This window comes from Homo sapiens, chromosome 3 (genome assembly GCF_000001405.40).
Source record: "Homo sapiens chromosome 3, GRCh38.p14 Primary Assembly".
NCBI lineage: Eukaryota > Metazoa > Chordata > Mammalia > Primates > Hominidae > Homo > Homo sapiens.
This window is the reverse complement of record NC_000003.12, coordinates 185308055-185329086: the sequence shown is the minus strand read 5'-3', so window position 1 is coordinate 185329086 and position 21032 is coordinate 185308055. Positions and strand designations below refer to the sequence as shown.

General features: G+C 40.0%; 1 protein-coding gene across 6 annotated transcripts in view, besides 1 other annotated feature; it reads right to left on the bottom strand.

Moving 5' to 3' along the window:
- The window catches only part of MAP3K13 (mitogen-activated protein kinase kinase kinase 13), a 206134-nt gene that overhangs the window by 160008 nt on the left and 25094 nt on the right, over positions 1–21032 (bottom strand). For 2 of the 6 annotated variants that reach the window (XM_011513310.3, XM_017007457.2), the window contains exon 1: positions 125–192. The exons of the other annotated variants lie outside the window; for them this stretch is intronic. Coding sequence is in view for 1 of the 2 variants with exons in the window: in XM_017007457.2 (XP_016862946.1) it covers positions 125–152 (28 nt within the window). In the remaining variant the exon portion in view is untranslated. Of the gene's footprint in view, positions 1–124; positions 193–21032 lie in introns of those variants that run through there. 6 annotated transcript variants of the gene reach the window in all.
- Positions 16838–16887: an enhancer, noted in NCBI's record as "active region_20921". NCBI's record gives its function as "activates an Ori minimal core promoter by ATAC-STARR-seq in GM12878 lymphoblastoid cells {active_cell/tissue: GM12878}" and the evidence as "EXISTENCE:reporter gene assay evidence [ECO:0000049][PMID:35858748]".

Sequence of the window (21032 nt, the reverse complement as noted above, 5' to 3'; positions counted from 1 at the left end):
GTAGTTCTAATCCCTAAGATTTAGAGCCAGGTAGAAACTTGATTTAATCTTTGATGGAAATTATTCTTACAATCCTTTTTATATGAAAATGTCATAATAGTTTTTTTTAAAAAAAACTACTTACACCAAGCTGAAGTCTGAACAGACAGCATGGAACTACCAGCAGCCGCCAGTTTCCTCACAGACTAAACTAAACTTTGCTCCCTTCCTGGCTGTTTCTGGATCAGGTTCACACTGATACACATTTACAGTGGCCTTGGAAGCTACCAACCAACACAGCGAGGTGGGAGGGTTTGTTACTCTAACTCTTGTTTGATAACTGCTTATCAGCAACTTCTCAAAGGTCGACTTAAATGTGTTTAAAGAGACAAATGTAAGGAAGATTATAAGGAAAGCCTGAAAAATCTTAAAATCTCCGATGGCTGGGCTTTGGTTTCCGAGGGGATTTCTTTCCCATATGTTCCTGGAAAAAAGAAAAAAGAAAAGGATAGTCCTCTGAGCTTCAAATATCTTGCTTTCCTCTCATAAAACTTTCCCAGCCACCTGCAGTGGCTCTCGCCTGTAATCCCAGCACTTTGAGAGGCCGAGACGGGCGGATCACCTGAGGTCAAGAGTTCAAGACAAGCCTGGCCAACATGGTGAAACTCTGTCTCTATTAAAAATACAAAAATTAGCTGGGTGTGGTGGTGGGTGCCTGTAATCCCAGCTACTCGGGAGGCTGAGGCTCCTTTTTGAAACTCCATTTCAAAAAACAAAAAACAAAAAGACAACTTTCCCTTCCTCCTCAGAAGCTATACATTGTACAATCATGGCAGAAAAGGGCCAGAAAGTTGTTTCTCCACTATAGTCCTCCCCCATCTCCATTCTCCCTGACTTTTTTACTAGTGAAAGAAAGTTCTTGGTAAACGTAGTATTTTCTGACATTCAAACCACCGGCTGATCTGATGTAAAGTGAGAACATGGATCCCAAATTCTATTCTTTGCAAGATAAAATATGATACTGCTTCATCTCTTGCCACATTCCTAAGCTTCTTTCCCTTCTGAGCTACCATATTTCTTTATTTTATTCCTTCCTTCCTTCCTTCCCTCCCTCCTTCCCCCTTCTTTCCTTCCTTTCTTCCCTCCCTCCCTCCCTCCTTCCTGCTTCCTTCCTTCCTTTCTTTTCTTTCTTTTTTCTGACAGAGTCTCACTCTGTTGTCCCGGCTGGAGTGCAGTGGCACGATCTTGGCTCACTGCAACCTCTGCCTCCCAGGTTCAAAGGATTCTCCTGCCTCAGCCTCCCGAATACCTGAGACTACAGACGCCCGCCACCGTGTCCAGCTAATTTTTGTACTTTTAGTAAAGACGGGGTTTCACCATGTTGACCAGGCTGGTCGCAAACTCCTGACCTCAGGTGATTTGCCCGCCTTGGCCTCCCAAAGTGCTGGTATTACAGGTGTGAGCCACTGCGCCCAGCCTTGTAATTTCTACCATTAGCCTTTGAAGCAGCAACCATTTATTACATACTTACTGCACTAATCACTTTATGAACATTATTTTATTCTCTCCCAGGCAATAAATTTGGAGATCATCTTAATTCTTTTCAGTCTGACTCTCTGAGTCCAATTTGACCCCTTCACTATCCTGGGGATCTTCTGCAACAAGCACCGTGATAGGCAAAATAATGCACCCCTCAAAGATGTCCATGTCCTAATCCTGAGAACCTGTGAATATGTTACCTTCCATGGCAAAAGGGACTTTGCAGATGTGATTAACGTTTAAGGACTTTGAAATGGGGAGATTATCCGGAGGAGTCCAACCTAGTCACATGAATCCTTGAAAAGCAGTGAACTTTTCCCTCCCAGCTGTGGTCAGGGAGATGTGATAGGAGGACTTGACTAGCTCTCGCTGGCTTCGAAGATGGAGGAAGGGGCCTCAGAGGACTGCAGGTGGCCTCTAGAAGCTAGGAATGGCAAGGAAACTGATTTTTCCCCAGAGTGTCCGCCCTGATGACACCCTGGTTTAGCCTAGTGAGACCCATGTTGGTCTTTTGACCTACAGAACTATAAGATAAACTTGTGTTGTTTTTAAACCACAAAGTTTTTGATAATTTGTTATGGGAGCAATAGAAAAATAATACAGGTACTTTAATTTCAAGCTCCTTTAAAATATAATACTCAAGACTGAACAGAATACGCAAATGAAAACTGATGCAGAAAAAAAGTTGTGGAACTATCAAATTCATTAATCTGGGTGCTGTACTTTTATAAATGCAAATCAAGATTATTTCAAATTTTTAAAGCATTATACTCTTAACTTAGTGGCCTCCTAAGTCTTTGGCCCATGAGCTACATTAAACCAAGTGCCTAGCTGTACCCTCATTTTTTTTTTTCTTTCCTGTGTTGGGATCAAACACACACAAGTTTCCCAAGTGTGAATCCTGGTTCTATCCCTTACTTGCTGAGTGATTTTAGGTAATTTGCTTAACCTCTCTGGGTCTCAGCTGACTCATCTGTAAAACGGGCACAATATTTCACCTACTTTTTAGGTAGGATGAAGTGATGTAGCTCATACAAAGTAGTTGGACCTGTGCCTGGAACATAGTAACTGCTGGGTAAATGTCAGCTGCTACTGTAAGGACGGGCTTTCTTGTGGGAGCTGAGGAACAGGCTAAGATTCGTGTCTGGATCAATAGATAAGCTGCTCCAGGGCAGAGGTGCCCTGGAGAACAGGAGCCACTCCAGATTCTGCTAAAATCCTGGGGGCGTGGTGGGGTTTGAGGCTTTTAAGTATATGTGGAAAGGGCTTGAGCTGATCCTAGTTGGATTTCATGGGTCTGAGAATCCCACTTTCCCCTGGAGTTGCAAAGTAAACACTTGCTACCTGCCAGGCACTGTGCTAGCAATGAATCCATCTGACAAGACTCCTATTCTCCCGGGACGGACATTCCAGCAGGAGGGTGGAGAATAGACAAACCAGGAAATTTCATGGGGTGCCAAGTACTGTGATGATAAGAGAACAGGGTGACTGGGGAAAACTCAATATTCAGGACTCACTGAGAAGGAGGGAAGTTTGAGCTGAGAGGAACATGAACTGAGGAGTGAGGGGAAGAAACAGTGTTTCAAGCGAAGGAACCAAGCGTGAAGCAAGTAGAAAGGAACAGTGTTTCAGCCAAAGGAACAGCCAATGTAAAGGTTCAGAGGCAAGAATGACCTTGGCTTGCTCAAGAACCAAGAGGACGAAGGCCAGTGTGGCCAAAGCAGAGATCAAGGACCAAATGTGAGGCCCAAAAAAGTAGTCAGGGACCCTGTAACTGTGGGGAGAGGTTTGGATTTCATACACTGAGATGCCATGGGAAGGTTTTCAGCAGCCAAAGGACAGAATGTGATTGACAAGGGAACACTTGAACCTGACAGGAAGCTGGTCCTGCCCAAAGCCTCTGCTTCAAGTTCCAGAATCCCCTTCACAGCCAGTCTGATCATACCTGGTCCTTCTTACCTTCTCAGCTTTTAACCACCCCTCTACCTCCCAAAACCAAATAGGCAGTTTTGAGGTGACACTGAGCCAAGGTAGCAGTCTATGAGGAGGAGAGAGCAAGGGATGCAAAGCGACACACGTGACGGCTGCAAGTTCCTCTTTGTAGTAGGCTGAATGGTGGCCCCTCAGAAAGAACCCATGTCAAATCCCCGGAATCTATGAATGTGACTGTATTTGGAAAAGGAGGCTTTGCTGATGTGACTAAGGATCTCAAAATGAGATCATCCTGGATTATCTAAGTGGGCTCTAAATCCAATGACCTGTCCTTGTGAGAGAACCCCCTCATTCTTTTCTCAGTTAATTTTAGAAATGAAACACAGGGTCCTACATACAACCTTTTTACATTTCACATTTTGGTTTTAGCCCACTTTTCCAAATTATTAAGATCATTTTGAATCATGCTGGCTGTCCTCTGTCATAGTAAGTAACCTTTTCAGCCTAACTACGTCTACTTAATGACCATGATTTCACCCAAATTATTAGTAAATAAACATTGAACAGTCAAGATTGAGAATAGAGTTCTGAAACATGTTATTAGAGACCTTTAGTTTGATACTGATCCATAAATCAATATTCTTTGGGTGCACATGTTTGATCAGCTACAAAACCACCTATTCTCATACAGCTTATATTTTTGTAGTTCCTCAAATATGTCAGGAGAACAAAATACCTTGTAAGTAAAGACATGTCCACAGCATCCCAATCTTGTCAAACTCTAATGGAAATGAAGATGTAGTTTGTTTGAGCAGTTTTTTTTTTTTTAATTGTGCCGGTTCTTAGTGATTATCATTTTTTTAAAGAGTTTACAAACTATAAGTTAATTCTTTTTTCTAGAAGTCTCCTTGAGGTTAAAAGGAAGTTTACACAAATGGAGGAAATGACATGAATCTCTGTCTCAAAATAGGAGATATAAGTGGAGGAGAAAAGTAGGGGAACATTAGAAAAGAAAGCATGGCGGAAGGGGCAAGCACGGTGTGCCCCTGGGAGAGGGAAGAAACCAGGCTGGTCATAGCAGGGGTGGTTGTTGAAAAGTACTGGGAAATCGGAATTGAAACATAGAATGTAAAGTCTAGAAAAAGGGACTAGGATTTAAAATTAAAATATCAGAAAATGGGAGGAATCAAAAGATTTTAAAGCGAGAAAATAAAATAATAAAGGTGCTTTAATAAACAACCTAATTGAAAAGTGGGCAAAGTACATGAACAGTTCAGAGAAGAAATATAAATGGCTCTTAAATATATAAAAAGGCACTCGGCTGGGCGCGGTGGCTCACGCCTGTAATCCCAGCACTTTGGGAGGCCGAGGCAGGCGGATCACGAGGTCAGGAGATAGAGACCATCCTGGCTAACATGGTAAAACCCCGTCTCTACTAAAAATAAAAAATAAAAAAAAATTAGCCGGGCGTGGTGGCGGGTGCCTGTAGTCCCAGCTACTCTGGAAGCTGAGGCAGGAGAATGGCGTGAACCCAGGAGGCAGAGCTGGCAGTGAGCTGAGATCGCACCACTGCACTCTAGCCTGGGCGACAGAGCAAGACTCCGTCTCAAAAAAATGAATAAATAAAAATAAAAATAAAAAGACACTCAACCTCACTCATTATAAGAGAAATCAAAATTAAAAGTACAATGACGTCATCTTAACCTATATTTTCACCTAACAAATTGGCAAAGTTAAAAAAGTTTCATAAGATACAATGTTGGTGAGGTTATGGGAAAATAATGGAGGATAAATTGATAGAACCTCTCTGAAGAGCAAATTGGCAATCAAATTATGAACACATACACTTTCACCCAGCAATAACTAAAAACATACACATGTACGTGAATATTAACTGCAGCATTGTTGGCAAAAGAAAAAGATGGAAATCAGGAAGGAACTGGTAAATTAAATTATAGTACAGATATCTAATAGGATACTGGAATTTAAAAATTAGGTGACTGTGGCCAGGCACGGTGGCTCACGCCTGGAATCCCAGCACTTTGGGAGGCCGAGGCGGGCAGATCACCTGAGGTCGGGAGTTCGAGACCAGCCTGACCTACACTGAAAAACCCCATCTCTACTAAAAATACAAAATTAGCTGGACGTGGAGGTGCATGCCTGTAATCCCAGCTACTCGGGAGGCAGAGGCAGAATTGCTTGAACCCGGGAGGTGGAGGTTGCGGTGAGCCAAGATCGCGCCATTGCACTCCGGCCTGGGCAACAAGAGCAAAACTCCGTCTCAAAAAAAAAAAAAAAAAAAAGGTATGCCAAATGTAATGTGGTACGCTGGATTAGATCCTGGAATAGAAAAACTACAGTCATGGAAAAACTGGTGAAAACCAAATAAAGTCTGGCTTTTAGTTAATAGTCATGTACCAATGTTAATTTCTTAATTTTGATAAATGAGCCATAGTTATGTAAGATGTTAACATCAGGAGAAGGTGGGTAAAGTTTCTACAGGAACTTTCTGTACTATCTTAGCAGATTTTCTATACATCTCTAACTATTTCAAAAACAAAAAGTTTATTAAAACAATAGATAGACTTTTTTCCCAATAAACAAACATTTTAAAAATTATTAGAACAGCTATAGTGAAAATGGCTTGGAGAAAGGAGAAGTTAGAACCAAAAAGGTCAGATGGGCAACTGTGGAAGTAATCTTGGCATGAGGTGACGAGGGCCTACATTAGGGTAAAGATAATGAAATTACAGTGAAAATAATCAAATATAAAATGTATTTCAAAAGAAAAAATAAAAAATACTTGCAATATCAAAGAGAGATCAGAACAGTGACACCAGTGACAAAAGACAGAAATGAGATGAAGGGAGTGAGATTCATTTAACTCATTCATTCAATAAATATTTGTTGGTACCTACTGTGCAAGGCACCGGGGATGTGAGAGTGAGTTTATAAAGGCAAAGTGTGAAGTGACTCTAAAATGTCCTAGTTGAATTGTCCAAAAGGCATCTGGATACACAGTATGAGAGAACAGAACTGAGATAACTGAGAAAGATTATACAGAGTGAGGAAGGAGCGGCCAAAACTGAGCTGTGAAATATAAACACAGGGTAATACCAGAGAAGCATGGAAAACAGAGTAGGGATGGACAGAGGATTTTGAAAAGGAGCAGGATGGTGTAATTTCCTGGCAACCAAGACAAAAGAAAGATCTAGGAAAAAGGGTTCCATCAAATGCACTGTCTAAGAAACAAAGATACACAAAAGATGACAAGATGATCACAAAAAGAGACAGAGACCACTGATGGCCAAAGTCACCCAAGAAACTTCTTTCACTTTCAGTGAAGCCTAAACGGAACCCAGATTACAGAAGTCAACATTTTCCTAGAAGAAAGCCCTTCTGATTTAAAGGCCTTTGGCAAATAGAATTCCACTTAACGTGCTCCTCAAACTGGGGTATATGAAGCCGCAGAACAGATCTTTCTGTAGTATCAACTTTATATAGGGGAAAATATATTGAAACAGAATGAAAAATGCAAATTTTACATGAGCTTTTAAAGACAAATCCTGACATTTCAAGCATAGAATGTTCTTACAGGAGGTCATCTTCCTATTTCTAGGGCTATAAATTGACTTACCATTTCCGTAAGGGGATACTTGGGTAGAAATTAAAGAAGCACTTATATAATAGCCAGCTATAGGAAAATGTGTACTTGCTATTAAAACTCAGTCACGGCCGGGCGTGGTGGCTCACGCCTATAATCCCAGCACTTTGGGAGGCTGAGGTGGACAGATCACCTGAGGTCAAGAGTTCCAAACAATCATGGCCAACATGGTGAAACCTTGTCTCTACTAAAAATACAAAAATTAGCCGGGCATGGTGGCGCATGCCTGTAATCCCAGATACTCGGGAGGCTGAGGCAGGAGAATTGCTTGAACCCAGGAGGCAGAGGTTACAGTGAGCCAAGATTGAGCCACTGCACTGCAGTCTTGGCAACAGAGTGAGACTCCATCTCAAACAAACAAACAAACAAACATCAAAAAACTCGGTTACTTATAATAAAAAAATAAGAATATGGCCACATGTGGCAAATCACAATAAACACTTTGTATTCAAAGGAGAAAAATAATGAAAAAAATCTTGAATGTATCGTTCATATTTACCACTATTTTGCTATTGAGTCTCATTTATTATGTATCCTATATGTCTGTAGCTAGAGCTTAGCTACATGCTGAGAGTGAAGTTACAGAACTGACTATAACCAGATGCTTAATGAATGCTATTTGATAGTGTTGAATATGCATTGAGCCTCAATCAATACTATACACACACATACATATGTAAAACACGAGAGCATGGTATGTGCATATCTGTGTGTGCATATATATAATATACACGTGTATATGTGTGTGCACGCATATGTGTGTGCATGCATATATAATATACACATGTGTATATGTGTGTGCACGCATATGTGTGTGCACGCATATATGTAATATACACATGTGTATATGTGTGTGCACGCATATGTGTGTGCACGCATGTGTATATGTGTGCACGCATATGTGTGTGCATGCATGTGTATATGTGTGCACGCATATAATATATACACACATATGTATATATACATGCATGTATATATGCACGCACACACACATGCACTACTGTCACATACTATAGGTGTTAATTCCAGAATTGGTACTATGCTTCCAATCCTAATTTATATAAAAACAACTGAGACCCTGACTTAAGTGTAGTACACAGTATACCAGTAAAATGAAAATGCAGTTTTAATCTGTATTTAAATTGCAGTTTAATCTCTGCCAAATAAATTAAAATACAAATTTGGCATTAGATTTTCATAAACCAGGGTAAGCATGAGTTTGAAATCTTTGCTCTCATATTTTCCATCTAATTTAAAATATCCTCAGCCTGCAAGCCGGAAGGTAATACTCCCACCAAGTAAAAATTTCTTTTACATTTGTCTATGAGCAAGCCATTAGAATGGTAACCGTGGAGGTAATGTCCAGAAGCTTCTTGAAAATGCCATGGGAAACCTATGTCAGGTTGTAATTTTTCTAAAATCAATCATCTAGTCTGATGTCATTTGAATGGAGAAATTATTATCATTTATTAACCTAATGTAATTCTGATTGAGATCTCTACTGTTTAAAAGAAAACCAATTTTAAGAGTAGTCAAGATAAACTAGCTCGTTTCTTAAGGTTTGCCTTTCTACACTAAAAGTCACTTACTTAGGCCGGGCACAATGGCTCATGCCTGTAATCCCAGTACTTTGGGAGGCTGAGGTGGGTGGATCACCTGAGGTCAGGAGTTTGAGACCAGCCTGGCCAACATGGTGAGACCTTATCTCTACTAAAAATACAAAAATTAGCTGGGCGTGGTGGCGGGCGCCTGTAATCCCAGCTACTTGGGAGGCTGAGGCAGGAGAATTGCTTGAATCCGGGAGGTGGAGGTTGCAGTGAGCTGAGATCGCACCACTCCACTCCAGCCTGGGCGACAGAGCAAGACTCCTTCTCAAAAAAAAAAAAAAAGTTACTTACATAGCAAATAGTTTTCATTACTCCATCTTGTATACATTATCTGAAAACAGTCCCTGAGGCTAAGAAACAAAAAGCCAATGCAATACCCAACTTGGAAGACAGAATTACAGCTCTCATAAGTAATTCATTTCGCTTAAGCTGTGGCTTTCACAATTAATAACAACTACGGGGCATGTTGTCACTTTTTAACATTGCCTACTACCTACAACTCTCTGCTGTCACATTGTCAAAGAATTTTGATATTATCATGTTTCGAGAAAGCAAATCTGAATTGATATCCTAGGGAATAATTATTTCTTTTCCTACTTAACATTCATAATTAGGAGGTTGGTAGAATTCTCAAATCTTGTTGATTTAAATATATTTAGAGAACGTGAATTGATACAAACACTTTAGATGTCAGTTAAGTGAAATAATTAATACCACCATGCAATTTGGTATCTAGCCTAGAAGGACTGAAGAAGCATTCACCTATAATCAGCAATTCTACTCCCAGGCACACACACTAGCAGAGCTTCCCAACTGGTGTGCCAAGGCACCCTAGTATGCAATGAATGGGTGACAGGTGTGCCCAGATATGGAACTCAGCTCTCTAGTTCAGCAGAAGCCCCCAGGCCAGGACATAGCTTTACTTCTTTAACCTGGTGTATTGCACACATATCATCTATCATTTTCTATGTGTGCCGTGACACAAGAAAGGTTAGGGAACATTGATGGAGAAATGATTGCATATATGCGGTAGATACAAACACAGGAATATATGTATACTTAGGTGCAATGTTTGTAATAACTAACAACTGAAACATCACAATGCTCATCCATCAACTCATCTGCTAGGAAATTCTGTAATACTCCTACAATGCTACATTATACAGCAGTGAAAACTAATGAGGAATGCTATAAGCGTTGACATGGATAAATCTAAGGCTATAATGTAGATTTTTTTTTAAAAAAAGGCATGTCCCAGAAAAAGACATACAATAGGATTTCATTTTTATAAAGTTCAAAAACATGAAAAACTAATCAATATACTGTTTAGGGATATATAGAAATGTGATAAAACCATTGAGAACCGCAAGAGAATTATTAACACAAAATTTAAAACTCTGGTTACTTCTGAGGGTACAAGAAAAGTATAGAATCAGGAATGAGCCCACAGGAGACACTAGAAGTAATGGTAATATTGCTTTCTTAAACTAGGCTGTAGGTACACAAATGTTCTCTGTATAGTTATTCCATAAGCCTTACAGATGTTTTATAAATATTTTGTATCTACTCAACATTTAATAAACATTTTTTAAAAGCTCTATTTTGTCCAAAGTAGACAATGAATGTATCTGCCATCTCTGCAGCAGTATGAGTCTGTGGAACAGGAGGGACTGAAAGCATAAATTATATAGAAACTTTCACAGAAGCCCCTACAGACTCACACAACTCCAACAAAAAAGATTTGAAAGCTACCAACATAATTAAAATTAAAACTAAATTCAATGTGCTATCATTTTATGAGGCACCATATGTGAGAATTTTAACATTAAATGAAATATGAATTTCAAGATTCAGGACTGAATAAACTGCCAGCCTAGGGATGAATAACTGCTTTTGCTATTTTCTAAACAGTCAACATTTCACTGTGTATCTAGACCTCACAAAAGACATTTACAGAATGACAATACTTTAATTCATCATGTATTTCCAGCAATGTTTGCTTAGTCAAATGACTGTCTGTCAGGCAGGTTTATAAAGCTGCAAGAGCAAGAACTTGGTATGTTTCAACTGATATAACTACCAAGGATAACATACCACAGACGCTTTAAGAATTCCTTCCTGCCTGTACTCTGTCTCTTGTATTTTGTGGGCTGCACAATGGGAAGCCATTTTTTTTAAAGCATTGGATATTTTGCCAACCCAGAAGAGATATAATAAACCACAAAGGTATAAACTTAACTTCTAAATTAATTAAATTTATTATTTGTGATTTGAAATATTTAAAAAACCAGTTTGAACTCTCCCTTTAATATTAAAAAAATTAAACAAAAAGAACCACTTAAAAGCAGATAGGTTAATGTTTACACAAAGGCAATTTTTTTCCTTCGCTTTTTTTTTTTTCTTTAAAGTTTTAATGGGTGAATGACCTTGCTGGAATTCCCCTGTCAGTTCTGGAGTATCTATTTGGAACTTTCAAATAGAAACCACTTTTGTAAGTGGCATTAGAATGGTATGCCAAGTAGTATCTGTCTCAATACCTTGAACTTGAATGTTACACCACAGATGAATCAATAAACTTTACACAAAATGAAAGGTTTCCCTTCCCCACTTAGGCCATTTAAGAAGAGATCAAGTATAAATATATTTGACATTATCACGATGTAGGGTCAATTATACATAGAAAACTTCACGTTTACCCACTTCAAGAAATTTACTCTTGATATGGCTTTAAGTTATTCAAAGACAGGTCTATTTTCAAGTCTGTCAGACATTTAATATATCATGCTAAAGTTAGAATCTGAGTCCATACGTAATTCCTGTGACCTTAGTATAACTACCTAAAAGTCTAGATAATATAAAGCATTTATCATTTTTGTTTTACTTTAGAATTTCTAAGATACCTATTTTCACTGACAGAAATCACTTCAGATAAACTATGAAAAGGCTTCAGGAAACCTTTCCTTTCCAGCATGAGCCAAGTATGAAACTAACCCTAAAGCACTGAAGATCATTCCAGTCATAGGCAACAGGAAGGACAATTTAGAGCAGAAACAAAATATTTCCCCGACCTGGCCACACCTCTAGTTTCACCCTTGGCACTTCTCTCCCCCATTTTCAGAAGGCGAAAGAACAATAAAGATTGCTCTGGAATTTTAGCCTAGTCATCTAGCTTCCTCTCCAAAGCTGTTTTCAGGGCTGAAAAAACGTAACTCAGATTTCATAATCTGAGTTTCTACAGAACATATTGGTGTTTCAGAAGTTGACATGAAGGGCACACAAGAGTGAATGGAGAAAGAGTGGAGTATCAGGGAAATCCAGCAAAGGAAGCACTGCTTTTTAATATTTTTCCTAGAATATTTCAATACACTATTTTATAACAGTGGCTGGAATATTTTCAATATTACAAGTCTTTTAACAAGAATGTTTAAACTATTAACATGACATCATAATAATTATAGGATCAAATTAAAAACCCAGTCATCGTCCTTCCTGCCCAAGCTCACAATGTTTCCTATCCCTATCGTCTCCAATTTAGGATGGGATACTAATGCCACATATAACCGCAATCTTGATTTTTAAAATAAAACTGGAATTAAATTGTTGTGGTTGGGGACAGAGGGAGAGAAAAGACTAGATAATCAAATTGCTTTTTCCCAAGGACTTCTCTCTTCCATTCCTACCTCCCTACTCCCATCTAGTCAGCAAAACAAAAAAACTGTTTTTTCCTTTTTTGAGACAGGTCTGTCACCCAGGCTGGAGTGTAATGGTGTGATCTTGGCTCACTGCAACTTCCACCTCCCGGGCTTAAGTGAACCTCCTGCCTCAGCCTCCCAAGTAGCTGGGACTATAGGCATGTGCCACCACACCCAGCTAATTTTTGTATTTTTTGTAGAGACGGGGTTTCGCCATGTTGCCCAGCCTGGTCTTGAACTCCTGGGCTCAAGTGACTTGCACACCTCAGCCTTCCAAAGTGTTGGGATTAATGGTGTGAGCCACCCCACCCAGCCAAAAAAGAACTTTTGATGATGCTATTTTGGATATTAATAAAATATTTAACATAAAGAATTTGTAACTATTTCCTAACCTTTACTTTCCCAAACACTTTCTTTAAAAGTTATTGCAATATAGAGAGATGTCTGAAAGGATATTAATAAAAATGTTGGCATCCCAGGAGGTGGGGAGTGGAATTTCAAGAACATCTCTTCTTTTATTTTTTACATATTTTAGCTCAAATATATTTGTAACCAAAAAATTCCAATAAAATAATTTTTTTTCAATGCAAAGGTTTTTATGTGAAGTTATCTATCAAACAGTAAACTCTCAAATGCAAAATCAAGACGCACTTTGCCCTCTAAGATACAATTTCATTTTTATAAGTAAGCAAAAATATATTGCCTTTCTGTTCAGGGCTTTCTCTAATTGATCTTCTATACCTTAATGACTCATAAATTAATATCTCCTATTCAGAACTTCTCTCTTTCTCACTTTTCTGTGGTTAGTTTTGATGTATCTTAACCAAAAATATTAATATAATAATAGCAATATATATTAATCCACTGTTCTGAACACTTGATAATTTAATCCTCACAACCCTGTGAGATATTTCTAGTTAAAAGATACACTGTTATCCTCATTTTACAGATTAGGTCCCTGAAAGTAAAGGTGGTTAATATCCCATTTGCAATAGGGTACACTAACAAAATTTGTTAAGTGTTATAGTGAAACAATTTGCTTGTTTTGGATTTCTTTGGAAGCCATTCCCAAAGGAATGATACTTGAAGGAAAGGGATATTTGATTTTGTTATTTTCATTATGTATTTCCATATTTTTTCCCATGATTTTTCTAATGCAGTCGTTCTCAATTAATGGTCGCTGGACCAGCAGTATCAGCATCACCTGGAAGCTTCTTAGAAATGCAGATTCTCAGACCCCAACCAGACCTACTGAATCAGAAACTCTAGGGTAGAACCCAGCAATCTGTTTTTGTTAAGACATACACACATACATTCTCTCCCCTTTTTGTTAAGTTACTCCTCTAGGGTGGTTCTGATGCATACTAAAGTTTGAGGACCATTGTTCTATGTGTAATATATTTATAGTTTTTTTTTTCTTTTTTGAGTTGGAGTCTTGCTCTGTCACCCAGGCTGGAGTGCAGTGGTGCGATCTCAGCTCACTGCAACCTCCGCCTCCCAGGTTCAAGCAATTCTCCTGCCTCAGCCTCACGATTAGCTGGGATTACAAGTGCATGCCACCACACCTGGCTAATTTTTTTGTATTCTTAGAGACTGGGTTTCACCTTGTTGGTCAGGCTGGTCTCAAACTCCTGACTTCGTGATGCGCCTGCCTCAGCCTCCCAAAGTGCTGGGATTACAGGCATGAGCCACCGCACCTGGCCAACATGTATCAGTTATTTTTTAAAAATTGTGGCCAGGTGTGGTGGTTCACACTTGTAATCCAAGTGCTATGGGAGGCCGAGATGGGAGGATCTCTTGAGGCCAGGAGTTTGAGACCAGCCTGGGCAAGAAGATGAGACCCCCATCTCTACAAAAAATGTTTAAAAATTAGCTGGATGTGGTGGTGTGTACCTGTAGTGCTAGCTACTTGGGAGGCTGAGGCAGGAGGATCACTTGAGGCAGGAGGGTCACCTGAGCCCTGAAGTTCTAGGTTACAATGAGCTAATGATTGCAGCACTGTACTCCAGCTTGGGTGACAGAGTGGGATCTTGTTTCTTTTTTTTTTACTTTTCTTTTTTGAGACGTGGAGTTGCTCTCACCCAGGCTGGAATGCAGTGGTGTGATCTCGGCTCACTGCAACCTCCGCCTCCTGGGCTCAAGCAATTCTCCCGCCTCAGCCTCCTGAGTAGCTGGGATTACAGGCATGCATCACGATGCCCAGCTAATTTTTGTATTTTTAGTAGAGATGGGGCTTCAACATGTTGGCCAGGCTGGTCTCAAACTTCTGACCTCAAGTGATCCACCCACCTCGGCCTCCCAAAGTGCTAGGATTACAGGCGTGAGCCACTGCCCCCAGTCAGAATGAGAACTTGTTTCTAAATAAAACAAATAAATTCTCATTTAGCCACATATTTCATGTATTGCGGTATAATCAATTTTTTTTTACCACTTTTATTCCATGTCTTACAAGGGAGCACTCACTTGCATTTATTCCACATTTATTAAGCACCCTCTATGGCCAAAGAATGAGTGCTTGAATAACCAATAGCCTAGGAAGACAGGCAGAAATGCAGGATTCGCAATGTCAGCTGGTAATACAGCAACAGAAGTGCACAGCGTGCAGAGGAGGGGCAAACTGCAGTAGGTCAAGGACTGAATCTGGATCTCTTAGAAAATCTTGCACTCTACTTCTGAGAAACATTGTTTCTTGGCAACACATTCTGCTGCCCTAAACCCCAGGGATCCAAGCCCAAAACAGAGGCATTGCCAGAGCAGCATTCCCCATCAGATAGGGATTAACAAACTCAGTAAGGTCATTCCTCCTTGGTTAGAGTGCAGAGGCCGTGAGAGACAAGTAGAGAAGGTAGCCAGTTTCTGGGTTACCAAAGGGTCCAAAGAGCTTCCCAATTCTAATCTATCATTAACTTCACAATAATTCACCCTTCTTTTTTTTTTTCACCACTACTTCATGTTTTTCATGTCTGTATCAGGTATTTTACAAAATTTTTACTTTTCAAACTTGGAAAGGAAACTGTACTTTTCCAAGTTCATATTCTCCTCCCTAATACTTTAATCACTATTCTGAATTTGGTGTTTACCTCTCCAAATAAAAATTGTACTATTGGCAGGGTGCAGTGGCTCATGCCTGTAATCCCAGCACTTTGGGAGGCCGAGGTGGGCAGATCACGAGGTGAAGACATCGAGACCATCCTGGCTAACACAGCGAAACTCCGTCTCTGCTAAAAATACAAAAAATTAGCTGGGCATGGTGGCGAGCGCCTGTAGTCCCAGCTACTCAGAAGGCTGAGGCAGAAGAATCGCTTGAACCCAGGAGGCAAAGGTTGCAGTGAGCCGAGATCACGCCACTGCACTCCAGCCTGGATGAAAGAGTGCGACTCCATTTCAAAAAAAAAAAAAAAAAACTTGTACTATTGTTCATTTTTGTGAAAATATGAAATGCTTCTGAAATTTGTTTTATTCTACATTTTCCCCTTTTTTTTTTTGAGATGGAGTCTCACTCTGTCTCTCAGGCTGGAGTGCAAAGGTGCAATATCAGCTCACTGCAACCTCCACCTCCTGGGTTCAAGTGATTCTCCTGCCTCAGCCTCCTGAGAGCTGAAACTACAGGCACACACCACCACGCCTGGCTAATTTTTGTATTTTTAGTAGAGACAGGGTTTTGCCATGTTGAGTAGGCTGGTCTTGAACTTCTGGGCTCAGATGATCTGCCTGCCTTAGCTATTTTTCTAATTTTCTATTTCTTTATTATTTTTATTATGAAATTCAGAAAGTATGTCCGTATGTACTGTTAGAATTTTATATTCATCTAACATACTTTCAAATGTACTTTTTCTCAATGGCTATCAACAGGGGATAGGCCTTCTAATAATCATGCTGCTTTATAAACTGTCAGGCATTTTCATTAGAGAACTTTATTATCTATTTCTACTTTATTCAAAATATCATCCCACACTGATAGTTTGCATATAATTATGTAATCTATTTGCATCAAGATGCTTTTGATTTCAGCATACTATATTTCCACAATTGATATCTCATATATAATTACTTGATAAATGTTAATTTGTTTAGAAGTGCCCCGATTGCATTTAATCCCCTTCCTAGGGCAGCACAAAGTGGGAAATCTCTGCATTGTATAACCCCAAATACTTCTTCACTGGATAACTCTCTGCCAAGATAATATGAATCCTTCCTGCCCCTCAAAACATTAAAATCCCCAACAGAATCCTGCTGAGATAGAACCAGAGGGGTAATCCCCAATTTCTGTCCAAGCATCTCTCTGCGTGACCCTTGAAACACACATGCATGGATAGACTCATAACAGCACAGCCAAAGAAACAAAATTGGAACTGATATCCGAGCTTCTATCTTCTGTCTGCATCTTGGAGAGTGAAAAGCAGCAGTAATTCTGGAGGGTCATGTGACCTGACTGGAGGAGGTAGCTACCAGTCAGAAGTATACAAGTAAATACTTCTCCTTGGCTTGCAGCCTGGGGCAAAGGTTAGTCAGTTTTCAGAATACCCAGTAGAGGAAGGAGTTCCTCTTCACGTGGAAAAATGGAATTCAAAAATCCCACTGTTTCCCCAGTTTCCTGAAATCACTCATGATACCAAAGACACAGTGGCTATTTACCCAATGCCTTTCTAAATAACATTTAGGCTCTTACAAGGCCAATAAGTTTCACAACTTATATTCAACATGATTTTTGAGACTGATCTATGTTGATACGTGAAGCCCTATAATTCATTGTTAAATTTTATTCCAATGAATGAATAGTCCAGCAAAGCTCATTCATTCACTTTCCTTTTGATGACTGTGTAGGCTGTTTCCTTTTTTTTCTTTTAAAACAGTAATGCAATGAACATTTTTGTAGATTACTTGGGTAAGCATGAAAGACTACCATATTTTCTAAAACATGTGCCTAAGTATCTGCCCACTTTGCTTTCAACCAAAAATGTAGTTCTTTCAAAATAGCCAAATGAGAAGGAGAGGGGAGCCTAGACAATAACTAAAGGTCTACATACCAATTTGGGGGACTCTGAGACATCAGGGAACCTTGATGAGCCTGAGGACCTCCCCAGGCTGCCAAGAAAATAAGTAAAGGTGATTCTGGGTTGGGGCTTATGGTAGACACATGAGATTACAGGATGATATGGTTTGGCTGTGTCTCCATTCAAATCTCAACTTCAATTGTATCTCCCAGAATTCCCATGCATTGTGGGAGGGACCCAGGGGGAGGTAATTGAATCATGGGGGCTGGTCTTTCCCATGCTATTCTCATGATAGTGAATAATCTCTTATGAGATCTGATGGGTTTATCAGGGGTTTTCACTTTTGCTTCTTCTTCATTTTCTCTTGCCGCCACCCTGTAAGAAGTGCCTTTTGCCTCCCGCCATGATTCTGAGGTCTCCCCAGCCATGTGGAACTGTAAGTCCAATTAAACCTCTTTTTCTTCCCAGTCTTAGGTATGTCTTTATTAGCAGCATGAAAATGAACTAATACACAGGATTAACTACGAAAGGAGGAAACAAAGGCTACTATGACTTGGAGTAGGAATATTCCTAGGAAACTCATTCTATAATAAAAGAAAATCAACATACCACTTGTTGAGTGCTTTAGAGACATATGATTTAGAGAAACACAAAATAGCTTAATTCAAAGTGACTTCTGACTCAACTTCTGCAAAGTTGTCTTAAGTTCCACCATAGAGCCTGGATGTGTTCTGGAATGTGAGTACGACCTTTGCTTATCACTGTGAATATTGAAAGCAGAAAACAGCAAGAACAGAGAAGCACTAAGGAATACAGAATTGAACAAAGAAAAATGGCAATGATAGCATAGTGGCAGGTATTGACTCCTCTGCCTATCACAGGAATAAATGGATAGTTGAAGAGTTATATCAAGTTATTTTCATTTCTTTCTCATATATCTTTTTTTCCCTTTCCATATCACTCTTTTTTTCTCTTTGTGCTTCAGTTTGAATAACTTCTATGGATCTGCCTTCAAATTTATTTATTCATTCCTCACCTCTTTCCAGTCTGTTGAAATGCCTGTCAAAAGAGTTCTTCATCCCAGATATCATGTTTTTTTATTTTAGTGTGTCCATATGACTCTTTTTAGAGTTTACATTTCTCTGCTGAAATTCCCCAACTGTTCATGCATGAGGCCTACTTTTTCTACTTGTTCCTGTAATATATCAATCATAATTAAAGTCCTCATCTGGTATTTCCAACATCTGAGTCATCTCTGGGTCTGGGTCTGTTGATTGCTTTATCTCTTGAAAATGGTTGTGTTTTTTTTCATATATTTCATAATTTTTTATAGAATTCCAAATATTGTCCATAGAATAACAGTATAAACTGAAGGAAAGAATAGTTATTCCTGGAAATGGAGATGCCTATTCTGTCAGGCAACCAGGTGAACAAATTCCAAAGAGAGAGAATCTAGTCAGTGGTTGAGATGTTGTTTCCCTGTTGCTGTAGTTACCTTCTGTGCACCTTCCTCTAGCAGTGGGCAGCTACTATCTTGTGCTTCATGTGGAGTCTACAGTGTTCAAGGGATTTTACTCAGTGTTCCTGCTCCAATCTCAGCTTTCAGCAGTCACTGCATATCTGTGCCATAGAGGGGGTTCTCTCTCTCCATCCTTGTCCCTCCCTCAGCAGTAGGCTACAGCTGTTTTTAACTCCAGTCTATTAACAGAACTCATTGTTCTCCTGATATCTCAGTGTTAGCTAGGCCCTGTGCACCTAGGCCTCGGGTATGCGGCTTTCTGTGCCCCTACCCCAACCTCTTGGCAATGAAATTTTGCCTTATATCTGTGGAGGAACACTGTAAAAACAAAACAAAACAAAAACCCTCCAGTATCCCACGGATCACACTAAATACAAAATAGTAGCAGCTACTGCTGGAGAATGTTCTGTGCCTTCCCTAAGGGCAGGCAGCTTTTGCTTCTACCCTGCCCCCATAATCAGTGAATCTTTGCCTGGACTGAGGACAAAAGGGTTTCCTTTCATTTAAAGTTTTTGCTCCATATGAGAGAATAGCTGATAATTTAGGCAGGGTATGTAATTATGTATCGCTAAAGAGTGGCTCTCTTCAGTCTGCTGACTTGCCCCAATCTTTTTGTTTCTTTTTTCTTTCTTTTTTTTTTTTTTTTTTGTGAGACAAGGTCTCGCTTTGTCACCAGGCTGGAGTGCAGTGGTGTGATCTCTGCTCACTGCAGCCTTGACCTCTTGGGCTCAAGCGACCCTCGCACCTCCCAGCCTCTGGAGTAGCTGGGACTACAGGCATGTGGCACCACACCCAGCTAATTTATTTTTTCTTTTTGTAGAGGCAGGGTTTCACCATGTTGCCCAGGCTGGTCTTAAACTCCTGGGCTGAAGCAATCCACCCACCACCTTGTGGCCTCCCAAAGTGCTGGGATCACAGAGTGAGCATCCAGCCTCAATCTTTTTATGAGCAGTGGTGGAAGTTATTGTAGGTTCAGTTATGTACCCCTAAAAGATAAGTTAAAGCCCTAACCCCTGGCACCTGTGAATGTGACCTTATTTGGAAATAGGCTCTTTGCAGATATAATCAAGTTAAGATGAGATCACACTGGAATAGTGTGCGGCCCTAATCCAACATGACTGGCATCCTTATAAGAAGAGAAAACACGGTGGAATAGGAATCCCCAGACCTCATTCCCCCACAGAGATACTGACTTAACAACAACATATGGCCCAAAAAGACTTTATGAGAACTCCAGAAACCAGTTAAAAAGTCACAGTATCCCAGGCAAGCTCAAAGCCAAGAACAGCCACATTGAAACAGGCAAGAAAAGCTAATGCATTTCACCCATAATAGGCCTTCCCCAAGCCAGTCCAGCCCTACATAATTGCAAGTAAATGCCAAACTTGCATCTTCTCATCAGAAGGGAAAGAAAAGGATAGAATGTGCATCCAAAGTTCTAGCTTTTTAGGGAAGTGCCCAAGGGAATGGTTACTGTCCAGCTTGATGTGGAACACTGACAGAACCAGAATACTTTGGATGCTTGGGGTCCACTGAGAACAGCGGAGAGTTCAGCAGCTAACTGCAGCACCTGAGAACCTGCAGCACAGCCGACAGAAGACAACAGAACTCAGTGTTATTGGGAGAAAATGCCCAACTCATGGCCTTTCTCTCATGAAGAAAAGAGAAGAGTAGAAAGTATATCCAACCTTTCAGCTTTTCTGGGGACTGCCTAAGAGATGGCTTTCTGTCTTACCTGACTTGGAATGCTGACAGAACTGGCAACTTTTGCATGCCTGGGAACTGCTGAGAACAAAAGAGACCTAGGCAGCTTGTAGGAACACCAGAAAACCAGCAGTACCATGGAAAGACACCAGAGGGAGCAAGTGCCTAAAAAAGAAACCAGCAAACTTCTGTAATTGGGAAATTACAGGCACAGTTCAGAGGAGATACAACCCCATTAAAGGTTTGAGAGGCCCTAAGACTCTATAGCTGGGCTAAAGAGAGTCTTAACATCTCTTCCTCCCTGTATGAAGCCAGTCCAGAAGACTGGGAGCGTGGCTGTTTTTTAAAAATGTGCAAATCCCAGCAAAAAATAATCAAGAATACAAAGAAATAAGGGCCCGA